The sequence below is a fragment of the Homo sapiens genome, chromosome 5 (assembly GCF_000001405.40).
Source record: "Homo sapiens chromosome 5, GRCh38.p14 Primary Assembly".
NCBI classification, from domain to species: Eukaryota; Metazoa; Chordata; class Mammalia; order Primates; family Hominidae; genus Homo; species Homo sapiens.
This window is the reverse complement of record NC_000005.10, coordinates 150250441-150263376: the sequence shown is the minus strand read 5'-3', so window position 1 is coordinate 150263376 and position 12936 is coordinate 150250441. Positions and strand designations below refer to the sequence as shown.

Sequence of the window (12936 nt, the reverse complement as noted above, 5' to 3'; positions counted from 1 at the left end):
TGCATGTATGTGAGTGTGTGTGAATGTGTGAATGTGTGTGTGTGTTGCTGCACAACTGCAGCTATCTCAGGTCAACACTGCCTCCTCATGTTCACACCTCCCTCTCCCTCTCATTCCCAGCTATAAAATGGGGAGCAGGAGGTTATGGCTTTGGAGCTGACAGACTACAGCTCAAATCCTGAGTTTGCTGCTTCATTGCTGTGTGACCCTGGACATGTAGCTCCACCACTTTGAAGCTCAGTTTTCTCTGCAAAATGGAAATGATAACTAGCTCATAGGATTGTGATGATTAAATAGACCACAGCACAATGACAGTCATTATCATTAAGCTGCCCCCCTCTTCCCCAACCAACACCTTCCATCAGAACAACCTTGCCTGAAGACATCTTCTTGCCTAAAACTCCATATGATTGTCATTCCTCGGGGCCATGAGGATTTTTAGTGGTTACTGGAGGCACTATATTATATATAACATGGTGGTTAGGAGAATGGGGTTTGCAGTCAGACACCCGGTTTCAATCTCAGCTCTGCCGTTAACTAAGTGTTTGAGCTTGGGCAGACTGTGAACCTCTTAGCCTCAGTATCCTCCTCTATGAAGTGGGGATAATCACAGCACCCACCTTCTAGGACTGTTGGGAGGGTAAAATGAGATAGCGTTAAGTAAAGCACTTGGCACAAAGCCTAGTGTGTGGTAAAAGCTCAGAAATGGTAGCTATCATCATCATCATCATTGAGTCATTTACTCCTTCCTTCATTCACCTGATGTCAGGTGCATCGTAGACCCACCCCATGCCAAGGTCTCTGCTAGGCACTGAGAATGTGCAGGAGAAGTGAGGATGGGGAATGGGAGTGGGGGTGGTGGCGATGCGCAGGCGGGACTGGAAAGCAGAGCTGAGCATCCAGCACAGGAAGACCCCAGAGGAGCTTTGAGCTGCTGTCAGGGCTGGAAGGTTCCTTGGAGGGTGCACTTCCTGATCCTCCAAGCATCTTCCTTCAAAATTGTAATCTTCCCAAAGACGTGCAAAGAGGTACAGATGTGGGCTCAAAACCCGAAAGGTGAGCTTGTGCCTAAAGACACTGGACTGAGTCCTGTTCAGCCTGCTTGGCCAATCTAGACAAGGTTACTACTGGTCGCTGCTTCTGTGTGGCCACTGCTCTGCTCCCCAGGGGTCCAGGTCAGTGAGGTCCCAGGTCAGTCCAGTCCCCAGGGGACCAGGTCAGTGAGGCTCAGCACAGGTCAGTCCAACTGTGTTGTGCACAAAGCATTTACCTCCCAGATCCTTCTTGGGAGAGGTCGGTAACCTGCTGTCTCTACCATCACCACCTGCAGATGAGGGAGACGCCAGAAGGCCACCCCAAGGCACAGGGGACTTGCACTGTGCTAGGGACAACCTGAAAGTTTAGTAGGTGATTTGTGGTGGGGAAGGGAAGTATGGTAGGTCAGTGATGAAGTTGACAATATCTCCATTTATCGAACTCTTCCTAGTGCCAGGTGCTGTGCTAAGTGGCTTACAGGAATCATCACATTAATGACTATAGCAGTCCAGTGGTATTAGCATTACTGTTTGGAAGGGAGGCTCAGAGAGGTTAAGTCATTTGCCCATAGCTACATAGCTTGTAAGAGGTGGATCTGGGAGACGAACTCCGCAAGTCTGACTCCAGAGCCCTTGTTCCCAGTCCTTCTATTTAGCTTTCCAAGTGGATATCACATATATGGTGTCAGGGGGACATGCAAATAAGGGAACAAGTACTGTCCTTCAACCTCCAAGAAAAAAATCCACTGTCGGAAAATCACAGGCATGCCAGAAGTGCATGAATCAAGCCACATAAATAAAAAGCTAGGTTACAGATTTGTTTGTTCTATGACAATATTTTAAACAGTCAAAAGTGACAGAATGACTCAATGGGCACGGACACGTCAGTCACTCCACCAGGAGACAGGACCATGATGATAGCCTATGGCCCTTGAATCTTGGGCTCTGGCTGAGTCGTTCCTCAGGCAGCCTCCACTGATGGAAGGGGAGGCTTTGTGTGTGAAAACGGCCCTGAAACAAGAAATCCTGTCTCCTGGGCTCTGAGGTGTGACTCGACCTCAGGGACTGAAGCCAACTCTAGTACCATCACGTGTGTGGTGCACTGCAAACGTAGGGGCTGAATTCCAACCCATGTGCCCCTTGCCCAGCTGCTCAGAGGGGTAGCCTCTTACCATCAACACAAAGTCACCATCTGAGGGAGAGTCAGCTCTGGAGAAAACCTCCCTCAATTCTGTCCATTTCCCTGAGACCTGAGGACATTCTCTAAAGGGGCTGAGGCCCTGGGTCAGAGGGTAGATCTGGGACTCCAGTCTTCTTGTGGCTCCTTCCAAAGCCTGTTGCCATGGTTCTAAAAGCCCTTTCTGAGATGATTCTAGCTGCAGCTTGGCTTCTCAGAGCTTCTTACACTCAGGAAAGGGAGGTTAGAGATGATGGCCCACCAGAAAGAATAGGAGAGGGTTCACTCCCCAGAGACCACGTGGAGGAAGGCAGGGAGAGGGAAGAGTCTTTTGCAAAACTTTATCTTGATACACTAACAATACAAGTTTATTGCAGATAAATGAGAAGACAAATACTTTTTAAAGTATCTTCTATAACCTCACATCTAGAATTAACATTTAATGATACGTGCTACCATATGATATATGACATATGTGCCTTCTCAAGGACTGTATACTTACATATATCATCTCAGGTCAGGTTACCTGGAAGCAGAGCCTGAGTCAGGGATTCAGGTGCTGTTAGCATCCCGCACTCCAGCACGTGGGGTTTGGATGCACCAACTTACCAAAGGGCTTCTGGGCAGGGCCCAGGTATAGAATTGCCAGATTCTACACACCAAAAATACAGTTAAATACCCATTTACACTTTTTTTTTTTTTTTTTTGAGACGGACTCTCACCCTGTCACCCAGGCTGGAGTGCAGTAGCGTGATCTCGACTCACTGCAAGCTCTGCCTCCCGGGTTCACACCATTCTCCTGCCTCAGCCTCCTGAGTAGCTGGGACTACAGGTGCCCACCACCACGCCTGGCTAATTTTGTTTTGTATTTTTAGTAGAGAGGGAGTTTCACTGTGTTAGCCAGGATGGTCTCGATCTCCTGACCTCGTGTTCCACCCGCCTCAGCCTCCCAAAGTGCTGGGATTACAGTCGTGAGCCACTGTGCCCGGCCAATACACATTTACACTTTAAAAATTAAGCCTGCATTTACTTTGAAATGTACTAAAAATTAAATAAACCAATGGACAGAGGAATGGATAGAAACGTAATAATGCAAGTATAGGAAAACATTAATGATAGAACCTAGGTAGTGGATATCTGGGTGTTCACTTAACTGTATGTTTGAATTTTTTTTATTTTTAATTTTTTTTATTTTTTGAGATGATGCCTTGCTCTGTTGCCCAGGCTGGAGTGCAGTGGCATGATCTCGGCTTATTGCAACCTCCGTCTCCTGGGTTCAAGCAATTCTCCTGCCTCAGCCTCCCGAGCAGCTGGGACTCCAGGCGTCTGCCACCACACCCAGCTAATTTTTGTATTTTTAATAGAGACGGTGTTTTGCCATATTGGCCGGGCTGGTCTCAAACTCCTGACCTCAGGTGATCTGCCCACCTCGGCCTCCCAAAGTGCTGGGATTACAGGCATGAGCCACCGTGCCCGGCCTGAATTTTTTATAAAAAAATGTTGAAAGGAATTAAAGCAGAATTACATGTGCCTTTAAGATTTTGCTTTAGAATATATTTAAAACATCTTTTAGTTATTATTTATAAATATATATCATCATTAAAGAATGTTTTAAAATTTCATTTTATTATTATTGTGATTATTTTGAGACATTCTCACTCTATTATCTAGGCTGGAATGCAGTGGGGCAATCTTGGCTCACTGCACCCTCCGCCCCCTGGGCTCAAACAACCCTCCCACCTTAGCTTCCCAAATAGCTGGGACGACAAATGCCTGTGCCACCATGCCCAACTAATTTTTGTATTGTTTGTAGAGATGGGGTTTCATCATGTTGCCCAGGTTGGTCTTGAACTGCTGAGCTCAAGTGATCCACCCACCTCAGCCTCCCATAGTGCTGGGATTACAGGGTGAGCCACCGCACCTGGCCTAAATTTTTATTTTATTTTATTTTATTTTATCTTATTTTATTTTAGTTTTTATTTTTTTGAGATGGAGTGTTGCTTTGTCGCTCAGGCTGTAGTGCAGTGGCACGATCTCGGCTCACTGCAAACTCCACCTCCTGGGCTCAAGCAATTATCCTGCCTCAGCCTCTGGAGTAGCTGGGATTATAAGCATGGGCCACCACACCCAGCTAATTTTTGTATTTTTAGTAGAGATGGGGTTTCACCATGTTGGCCAGGCTGGTCTCAAACGCCTGACCTCAGGCGATCCACCTGCTTCGGCCTCCCAAAGTGCTGGGATTACAAGCGTGAGCCACCGCTCCCAGCCTAAATTTTCATTTTAATCTGTGCCCCTTCCCTCTCCATCTCTGGTGCCCATCCACCTCTCCCTACTGGCATCAGCTCTGGGGTATCTGATGCCTGCCTCTCTCCAAATTTTATGTGCAAATACGACAGCCATAAACAATTCAGGGGACTCAATATTGAGCCAGAAATATATGCACATGGCAAACATTCAGATGGCACTAGGATTCATAGTGAAAAGTGAGTCTCCTCTCATGACCCAACTCCCCCAATTCCCCTCCCCAGAGGCACCCTCAGTGCCTGCTTGTCTGTATTCTTCCAGAGAGACTTATGCCATATATAAACTTAAATACATCCTTTAAAAAAGTACTACGCATACTGTTTTGCACTTTGCTTTTTCACCAAGCAACATAATTTGGAGATGACTCTGAACCAGTAGATACATAACTGCCGCATTATTTTAGCAGCTGTGCCATTTTCCATTGTGCGGATGAATCGTCATTCACTGAGCCAGCACGCCCCTGCATGGACATTTTTAGGCTGTGGTGCGGGGAAGGATGTGAGCCCTGTCCTGTGAGACTTGCTCTTGACTGACAGGATGTGGTCCCAGAGTCAGCCCCAGGACTCAGGCCCTTCCTTCTAATAGCTCAGGGGTGCATGCTGGGAGCCCTGGGCTCCTGGGAGCTTTGCCTCTGTTCTGGGTAAATGGGGTGTGAAGAGATGACAGCTCCTCAGCATGCCAGAACGCAGGGACCCTTTCACTCCTGCCTCTGGCCTCCATGCTCCATTATCTCCTCAGACTTGGGAGCAGAGCAGGATATTAGCTCAGGCAGCACTGAGTGAGCACCAACTGCATGCCTCCTGGAACTCTCATAACAAGCCTGCAAGTCCAGGAGTTTCATTCTCATTGTCCAGGCAAGGAAAGAGAGGCTCAGAAAGGCCTAGCAACTTGCCAGAAGTCACACGGCTAGTAAGTGGCAGAGATTGGAGTCACAGGCTTTCCATGACTTGGGCCTGCCCAGCAACCAAACAGGGTTTCGGAGAGGGGAGGGCGCTAAACTCTGACCTAAACAGGCATCTTTCATGTTGAAGCCCAGCCCTCTTTCAGTAATGCCTGAGGTCTATTCGGACTCAATGCAGTGAGCCCTTGTTCACCAGCGCTTGTCAAAGCACCTGGCACCTGGTGTATACTCAGTGACTGTCTGGGAGCGGGGGGTGTTGGATATACACGGGAGGGGAGAGAGGGAGGGCGGGCCTGTGCAGCAGTGTGTCCCACTGTAACCAACTGCCTTGCCCCGCCCACAGTCCGACTACATGACAGCATCTCAGAGGAGGGACACCACTACCTGATCTTCGACCTGTGAGTTTGGCCCCGCCCTGGGATGCGCCAACGGTGTTGGGGCTGCCTAACCAGTGATGGCCTCACTGGACCTCTTGGGCTGAATTCCCTCTTGTGGTCCAGAGTTTCCCCAAATGTGGTGGGCCTGCCACCCAAGCAGTGCAAGCTGACTTTCCTAAAACACCAACAAACACTTTTAGCTTTCATCCTATATTTATTTTTGCTTCTCTTCTATTTGTGGCCAGTGATGCTGGTTTTCCATTTTCAGTGGCAATATAAAGTTTCCTTCTGGAATATGTTTAATTTTTTTTTGAGGAGTGTTGATTCAAAGAGAAGCAATAATGAAATGATAGGCCACAGTAGTTCCTGGTATGGCAATGAAAATCAGTGATGGGGCCAGTCTCATCGATAAAAAATAGCCTTTGAGATATTGATCATGGGGGAGGCCATAGGCTTCCTAATGAGCCTAGTGATGTGCTCTGACTTTCCCTAACCTCCGGACTCCAGCCTGGGTTAGGTGGGGAAGAAGGGCCGGGGATGGAGGAGGAGAGGGGACTGGAGTCAATGGAAGGGTGCTCTGGAAGACAGGAAGGGCATTGCAGCAGGGGACACCCCCGTGACCCTGGGGCCCCTCCTTTTGTGGCTGAGGTCCTGAGGTCCCTGGGCCCCATCCTTAGTTTCCTGGAGACTCCTCCAGATGAGGCAGCACCTGTCGCCTCTATTAGAGGGTGATTCCATGCCTGTCTCCCCAGGGTCACTGGTGGGGAACTGTTTGAAGATATCGTGGCCCGGGAGTATTACAGTGAGGCGGATGCCAGGTGAGTGTCAGGTGCTGCCTGGCAATGGCACCCGGGGACAGGGCACTCTTGCCTGCTGTCAGCTTCCCAGGGGAGGCCTGTGCTCACACCACCATGACCCCTTCCTCTCTCTCTCCCTAGTCACTGTATCCAGCAGATCCTGGAGGCTGTGCTGCACTGCCACCAGATGGGGGTGGTGCACCGGGACCTGAAGGTGAGCAACCCACCGTGGGTGTGGCTCACCCCGGGAGCCCCTCTCTCCTCTGCACGTCCCTAATCCTGCAGAGCTGGACATTATCAGAATCGCTTTAATTTCTCTGTGTTAGGCTGGAAGGTGGGGTGGGTGAGATTATTTTCCCCACTGTTCAGATGAGGAAGCAGAGCTCAGGAAGGTAGAGCGTCTGTGTTTGGGCCCCTGCTCTTCCAACTCCCAGCCCACATGCTTTGTGCCAGGATGGGTGAGCTGCAGTTATACTGTCATGACTGGCTACGGTGGGTGGGGAAGAAGGCAGGCTGGGTCCAAATCTCAACCAGGCCACTTTCCAGCCATGCAGCCTTTAGTAGCATGACCTTCCTGAGCCTCAGATTCTTCACAATGGGGGTTGCCATAGCAACCTCTGCAAAGGGTTGGTGAGGATATGAAATGAGATAGCACGGGGCCTGGTATACAGATGCATTCTTAGTCTTGTTCCTGCATCTCTGGCAGGCCAGGGGAGAAGAAAAACCAGACTCTAGGCCCGTGCAGTTCTCCTTTCTTTTACCTGAAGGAGATTGCAGAGTCTAGGACTGGCACCAGCTGCACAGCCTTGCTCCTTCAGCAGGGACTTCATGGATCTCCGCTGCTGATCCTCATGGTATCAGTGGCTGGTAGTTCATATTGTCTCCATTTTGCAGAGCAGGAAACTAAGGCCTAAGAGTTCAAGCAATTTGCCCAAGAACATGCAGTTCAATTGTCCTTAGCTAGGGCGGGGGAATTCTGGCCTTCTAACCCCTGATCCTGTGACCTTGGGAGTCTGGTGCCAAAAGGTCACTCTATCCAGCTCCTGCTTCCTCAGCAGCCCCTTCTAGGGTGACCCTGCCAGATGTCCATCAAACCTCTGCTTTTTGTTCTTCAGTGACAGCAAACTCACTTCCCATGGGGTAGCCCCTTGCACCACTGGGGAACACTCTTCCCTGCTGGAGGGGCTTTGCCCTGAACCTCAGTTCTGCCATTTGGAACCACACAGAGACCAAACCTCCAGCTTGGAAGAGCCCTAGACGGACTCCAGCAGCTTTGTTGTAGCTGCTAAGTCCCCTGCAGGGTGTACCCACCCCTGCCACGGTCCTCCCGGAGTGTGATTTTCAGGCCAGCCTCATCCTGGGCACCTTCCCTGGGCATGCTTCCACTGGTCTGGGTCCCTCTTTGGGGCACAATGCTCTGAAGAGAGACCCTGCCCCTCTCTGACTGTCCTGGGCAGACACGGCTTCTCTCCTGAGCCCTAGGCAAGCTCCCTGTGGCTCAGTCTAGATGAGACGAGTGTGCACTCCAAGAGGGTCTCCAGCCAGACTGCAGGGCACCTCTCCCAGAGGGCCTGTTCCCATTATAGCTGCAGCCCCTGCACTGGAGGAGGAAGGAGGAGAGGCAGCCCAAATTTAGGCCACTCTGGATATAATAATTAGTGACACATTCATCAAATCAGGGCAGGACGGTTACCGAGACCCAGGACATGTTAGGAACATTGTCCCCAGAGGACAAAGGAGGCCTTTGAGCCAGGCGGAGGGAGCTATATTTGTTTGGGTCCAGCCTAGCTTTAGACAGTGAAAGGTCAGAGGTGGGACCCTTCAGAAGTCCCACTGGGAAGGGGATCAGAGGAGGACTCAAAACCAACAGTCTTCAGAGACTCTGAGCCCCTCCCCAAGCCAAAAATAGAAGTACTAACATTTACCAAGCACTTACTGTAGGCCACAGCGAAGTGCTTACACAGATTATCTCAGTTAATCCATGCACCACCCCATAAGGTAAGCATTTTTCTCAGAGGAAACTAAAGCTCAGAGAAGTGAAATAATTTGCCCATATGTCATGGCATAGAGGTGGGCAGCATCGGGATCAGAAACTGGGACTATCTAAGCGAGCCCACAGTCTTAGCGCCCCTCCATCCTGAGTCTCAGGGTGAAGGGACCAGCAGGAAGTGGAGGAATTCTGGAGGCTGAGCCAGTGCAAAGCAGCAGCCTCGATGCCCAGAGGCCAGGTGTGGGACCTTCCCAAGTCAGCTGCTGGCCCCATGTATAAGCCTCATCATCTTTCAGCCTAGAGCAGTTAAGATAGAGTCAGACTTTGCCTCGATTCTGGCTCTATCCCTTACCAGCTGCGTGATCTTGGCCAAGTCACTTAACCTCTCTGAGCTTCAGTTTTCTCATCTTTATATACGTGACAAATACTTATTAAGTGCCTGCTGTGTGGCCCCCCAACCTAGGTGCTGGTGATACAGTGGTGAACAGGACAGATAAGGAACTCACATTCCCCAGGGCTGACAGATGATAAACAAGCACATAGACAGATGGGAGAAAACACTGCAAATTGTGATGAGATCTATGAAGGTAACAACAGGAGCAAAGACACAGGATGCCTGAGGGCTTCCCCTCTAGATAGAGTAAACTTGGATGGCCTCCTCCATGGGGTGACATGAGACTGAGGGCTGGACAAAGTAAAGGGGCCACTTTGAAGCTTGGGGGAGAAAAAATTAGAGGAGGAAAACAGGAAGTGCAAAGGCCCTGAGGTGGAAACAAGATGGACTGTTTCAAGGGGCATAGGAAGGCCACTGTGGAAGATGTAGGTAATAATACCTACCCGAAAGGGTCGTTGATACAAGAGATGATGCACGCAGAACACTTAACCCAGCAGCTGACATATAGTAGGGGCACAATCAATGCTGCTGCTGCTGCTGCTGCTTTATTGTGGTGGTGAATGTACCACCCCGCTCTCACCTCAGCCCAGCCCCAGATCTTGAAGTGGGGAGGGAGGAGTGGCTGATGGAGAAAGGGCCTTTCTGTTGTAGCGGATGGAGGTCTTGCCATAGGATAGTCCCCTCTCTGGGGACTGAGACTCAGGAGCCTGAGGCGGGGCTGGAGATGAAAGCAGGGGCCCCGGAGGGCCGGGCTGTTCTTCCTGTGAGCCCAGGCCCCTAGAGGTGAGGCTCTGAATCTGCTGACTGTCTCTTGGCGCTTTCCTCCCCTTCCTCCCTCTTCTCTGGTCCTGACAAGCCTGAGAATCTGTTGCTGGCCTCCAAGCTCAAGGGTGCCGCAGTGAAGCTGGCAGACTTTGGCCTGGCCATAGAGGTGGAGGGGGAGCAGCAGGCATGGTTTGGTAAGTGGGGTGGGCTGGCAGAAGTGTTGGGGGTCAGCACCCATTTGTGTTGACACATAAGCCTCTGGGAACCCCCTGCCTGAGTGGGTATGGCTGGAGATGCTGTTGGGCCAGCCGGGGCTGGTAGAGCAGAGGCCCTGTCCCACCCAGCCTCTGAGCCAGTGGGCAGCACCTATCTGTGTCCCCAGGGTTCAGGCATGGGACCCTACGGCCTTCCACAGGGCTCCCTGGGGCCCCCTCTCTCCTTTCCTGTCACTCCCCTCCGCCATCTCTCCTCCCCAAAGGGCTCCCTGTGGTTGAAGGCCTTAGGGAAGTTTCCACAGAGCTGCCCTAATAGTCTAGGTGCTTGAGATTATTATCCTGATTTTATAGATGAGGAAAAAACTGGCAGAAAACTTGCAGAAGGTCAAGAAAGTTTAAAAGGGATAGACCAGGACTTAACTCAGATGATCCAGCCTGCTTTGTGATTTTGGTATAACTGGGTCTCTTTAAGCTACCTGGGAGTACTTTTTAGTGGGCAATATTGAGCCATGGTTAAGAACCAGAGTTCTGGGTTCAAATCCCGACTCTGCTACTTATGAGGTATGTGACTTTGGCTAAGTCACTTCACCTCTCTGTGCCTTCGTTCCTCATCTGTAAAATGGGAATAATAATTGTGTGTCCCTCAGGAGTGGTGTCAGAATTAAATGTGACCAGGCATATGAAGTGCTCAGCCCAATGCTTAGCATACACACTCGGTAACTTGTAAGTGTTCTTAAAAGTGCTTGTTAGAATACCTCAGGTGTCCATTATTTGAACTGACCGGCTCAACAACCCTGGGAGGCACTTAAGATAGGAATCCCTAATCCTTCATTTGACAGATGAGGAAACAAGGACTAGAAGATAAAGAGACGTACCCAAGGGGCAAAGTCAGTTAGGACAGGCCTCCCGACATCCCATGACCAACTCCAACAAGGGGGTGCAGAGTGGGCTTAGCTCTCAGCCTGGGGCTGACATGGCAGGTGCATTTCATCTTGAAGCCACCAGCAATGGATCACTAGTGGCTCCTGGAAGAGTGGTGCTGAGAAGCTTATGATCCTGAGTCAGGACCCAGTAGGAAGGAGTTCTGTGGCTGATTACCACTGGCTCTGAAGTGGGAAGTGGTGACAGGTGTGCTAGGTAGTTGTCGATCTGATCTAGAGGCTTTGCTGGCTCATCAGGCTTATGTCTTGGGCCGACTGGGGTTGCACAATACAAGCCCAAGTGCACCTGAGGGGCAGGGGCTGTTTTCCTCAGCTCCAGAGCAATCCTCATCCCCTCTTCCAGCAGGATCTTGCTCCAGGTTACTTACGAGACAACCTCTGTGTATGTGTCTGCCTGTCTGTGTGTCTGGGAGCAGGGTTTGCAGGGACTCCTGGATATCTCTCCCCAGAAGTGCTGCGGAAGGACCCGTACGGGAAGCCTGTGGACCTGTGGGCTTGTGGTGAGTTCATCCTAAGGCCCTTTTGTGCCCCTGGCTGCACCCCGGCCTCTGGGGCCCCCTCTCTCCTTTCCCATCACTCCCCTCCCCCCATGTCTCCTCCCCACAGGGGGTTGAAGGTTCTCTGGTCCTCTTTCCAGGGGTCATCCTGTACATCCTGCTGGTTGGGTACCCCCCGTTCTGGGATGAGGACCAGCACCGCCTGTACCAGCAGATCAAAGCCGGCGCCTATGATGTGAGTGTCGCTCCTCTCTTCAGCTCCCATCATCCTCTGGTGCCCTTCCAGTGAAAGCCAGCGCCAAGCCACTCTCTAGTTCTGGCACAGGGGTGAACCCCAGGGGAGCATGAAGACTGACCAGGGCCAGGTGGTTACCATGCTGTGCCTAATGATTGGAGATTTATCTTGCCCCAGAAGGCAAGAAGCAGCACCAAAATGGAGTGAGGAGTAGGGGAGAGGCGCCTCCCAAGCCAGGGTTTCTCTGTTTCTCTCTCATATATACAAATAATAATAGCTAACAATTCTATAGCACTCTCTGAATGTTTTACACATATTATTACATTTAATCCTCACACCAATCTATGATATAGGTGCTGTTATTATTCCCATTTTACATATAGAGAAGCTGACATACAGAGAGGTCAAGTAACTGCCTAGATCACACAGCTAAGAAATGGTAGAGGTGGGATTTGAACCAGGCAGTCTGGCTCTACCATCCATGCTTCTAACTACCAAGCTATATTGCTTTTATGCAGATAGCTATTAAGCTCTGTGCCGTATGTTTTATATTGTATTTAATTCTCACAACATCTCTAGAGATAGCTCAAGAGGTCATGTGACTTACCCAGGTTACACAGCCCAGGAGGCAGAGCCAGGACTTGAATCCAGGCCTTTTGATTCTGAAGTCTGGGCTAAAGCCACTGACCGGCTGCTCTGCAAATAAGGCACAGTCTCAGAAAGATGGTTGGAGGGAGGCCTCCTTTCCCTCTGCCGTGTTCTGATTTGTATGGGGCTAGGGCCCTCCCCTGCAGTGAGGAGCCCCAACTCCTCCTGGTGTGGATGTCCGAGTGGATGGGCAGTAGGACCCCTGCCTGCTCCCCTGCCAGTCAGGGGCTGGGGGATCGCAGGGGTGGCCTGGGGCAGGCTGGGCAAACCTGGCCTCTCTGCCCCTTCCAGTTCCCATCGCCGGAATGGGACACTGTCACCCCGGAAGCCAAGGATCTGATCAATAAGATGCTGACCATTAACCCATCCAAACGCATCACAGCTGCCGAAGCCCTTAAGCACCCCTGGATCTCGGTGAGCCTTCCTCAGCAGGACTTCTCCCAGGAGCCCCTCCAGACCTCATGATCCAGGCCCCCACAGAGTTCTGGCCCTTCCCCTGGCCCATGGGGCCAAGAGGGCTTAATCCAAGAGACTGCCCCTGCTGTGGTTCTCAGGGGTAATGTGGAAACGAGGAGTGAGTGTTCTGGGTTGGCATACAACTGATGGTGCTACTGGCATTGAATGTCTGGTGCCAGGATGCTAAACACCCTGAAGCATCTCC

General features: G+C 50.8%; 1 protein-coding gene across 5 annotated transcripts in view, besides 1 other annotated feature; it reads left to right on the top strand.

Moving 5' to 3' along the window:
* Window positions 1–12936, top strand: part of CAMK2A (calcium/calmodulin dependent protein kinase II alpha) — a 70640-nt gene that overhangs the window by 26754 nt on the left and 30950 nt on the right. For all 5 annotated transcript variants that reach the window (NM_001363990.1, NM_001363989.1, NM_171825.3 and 2 more), the window contains 7 exons: window positions 5760–5814; window positions 6546–6611; window positions 6732–6804; window positions 9831–9933; window positions 11312–11395; window positions 11533–11627; window positions 12567–12689. In NM_001363990.1, coding sequence (NP_001350919.1) covers window positions 5760–5814; window positions 6546–6611; window positions 6732–6804; window positions 9831–9933; window positions 11312–11395; window positions 11533–11627; window positions 12567–12689 — 599 coding nt within the window. The remainder of the gene's footprint in view (window positions 1–5759; window positions 5815–6545; window positions 6612–6731; window positions 6805–9830; window positions 9934–11311; window positions 11396–11532; window positions 11628–12566; window positions 12690–12936) is intronic.
* Window positions 5751–5934: a silencer, noted in NCBI's record as "fragment chr5:149637006-149637189 (GRCh37/hg19 assembly coordinates)". NCBI's record gives its function as "represses an EF-1alpha promoter that drives an FKBP-Casp9 reporter gene in an ReSE screen in HepG2 liver carcinoma cells {active_cell/tissue: HepG2}" and the evidence as "EXISTENCE:reporter gene assay evidence [ECO:0000049][PMID:32094911]".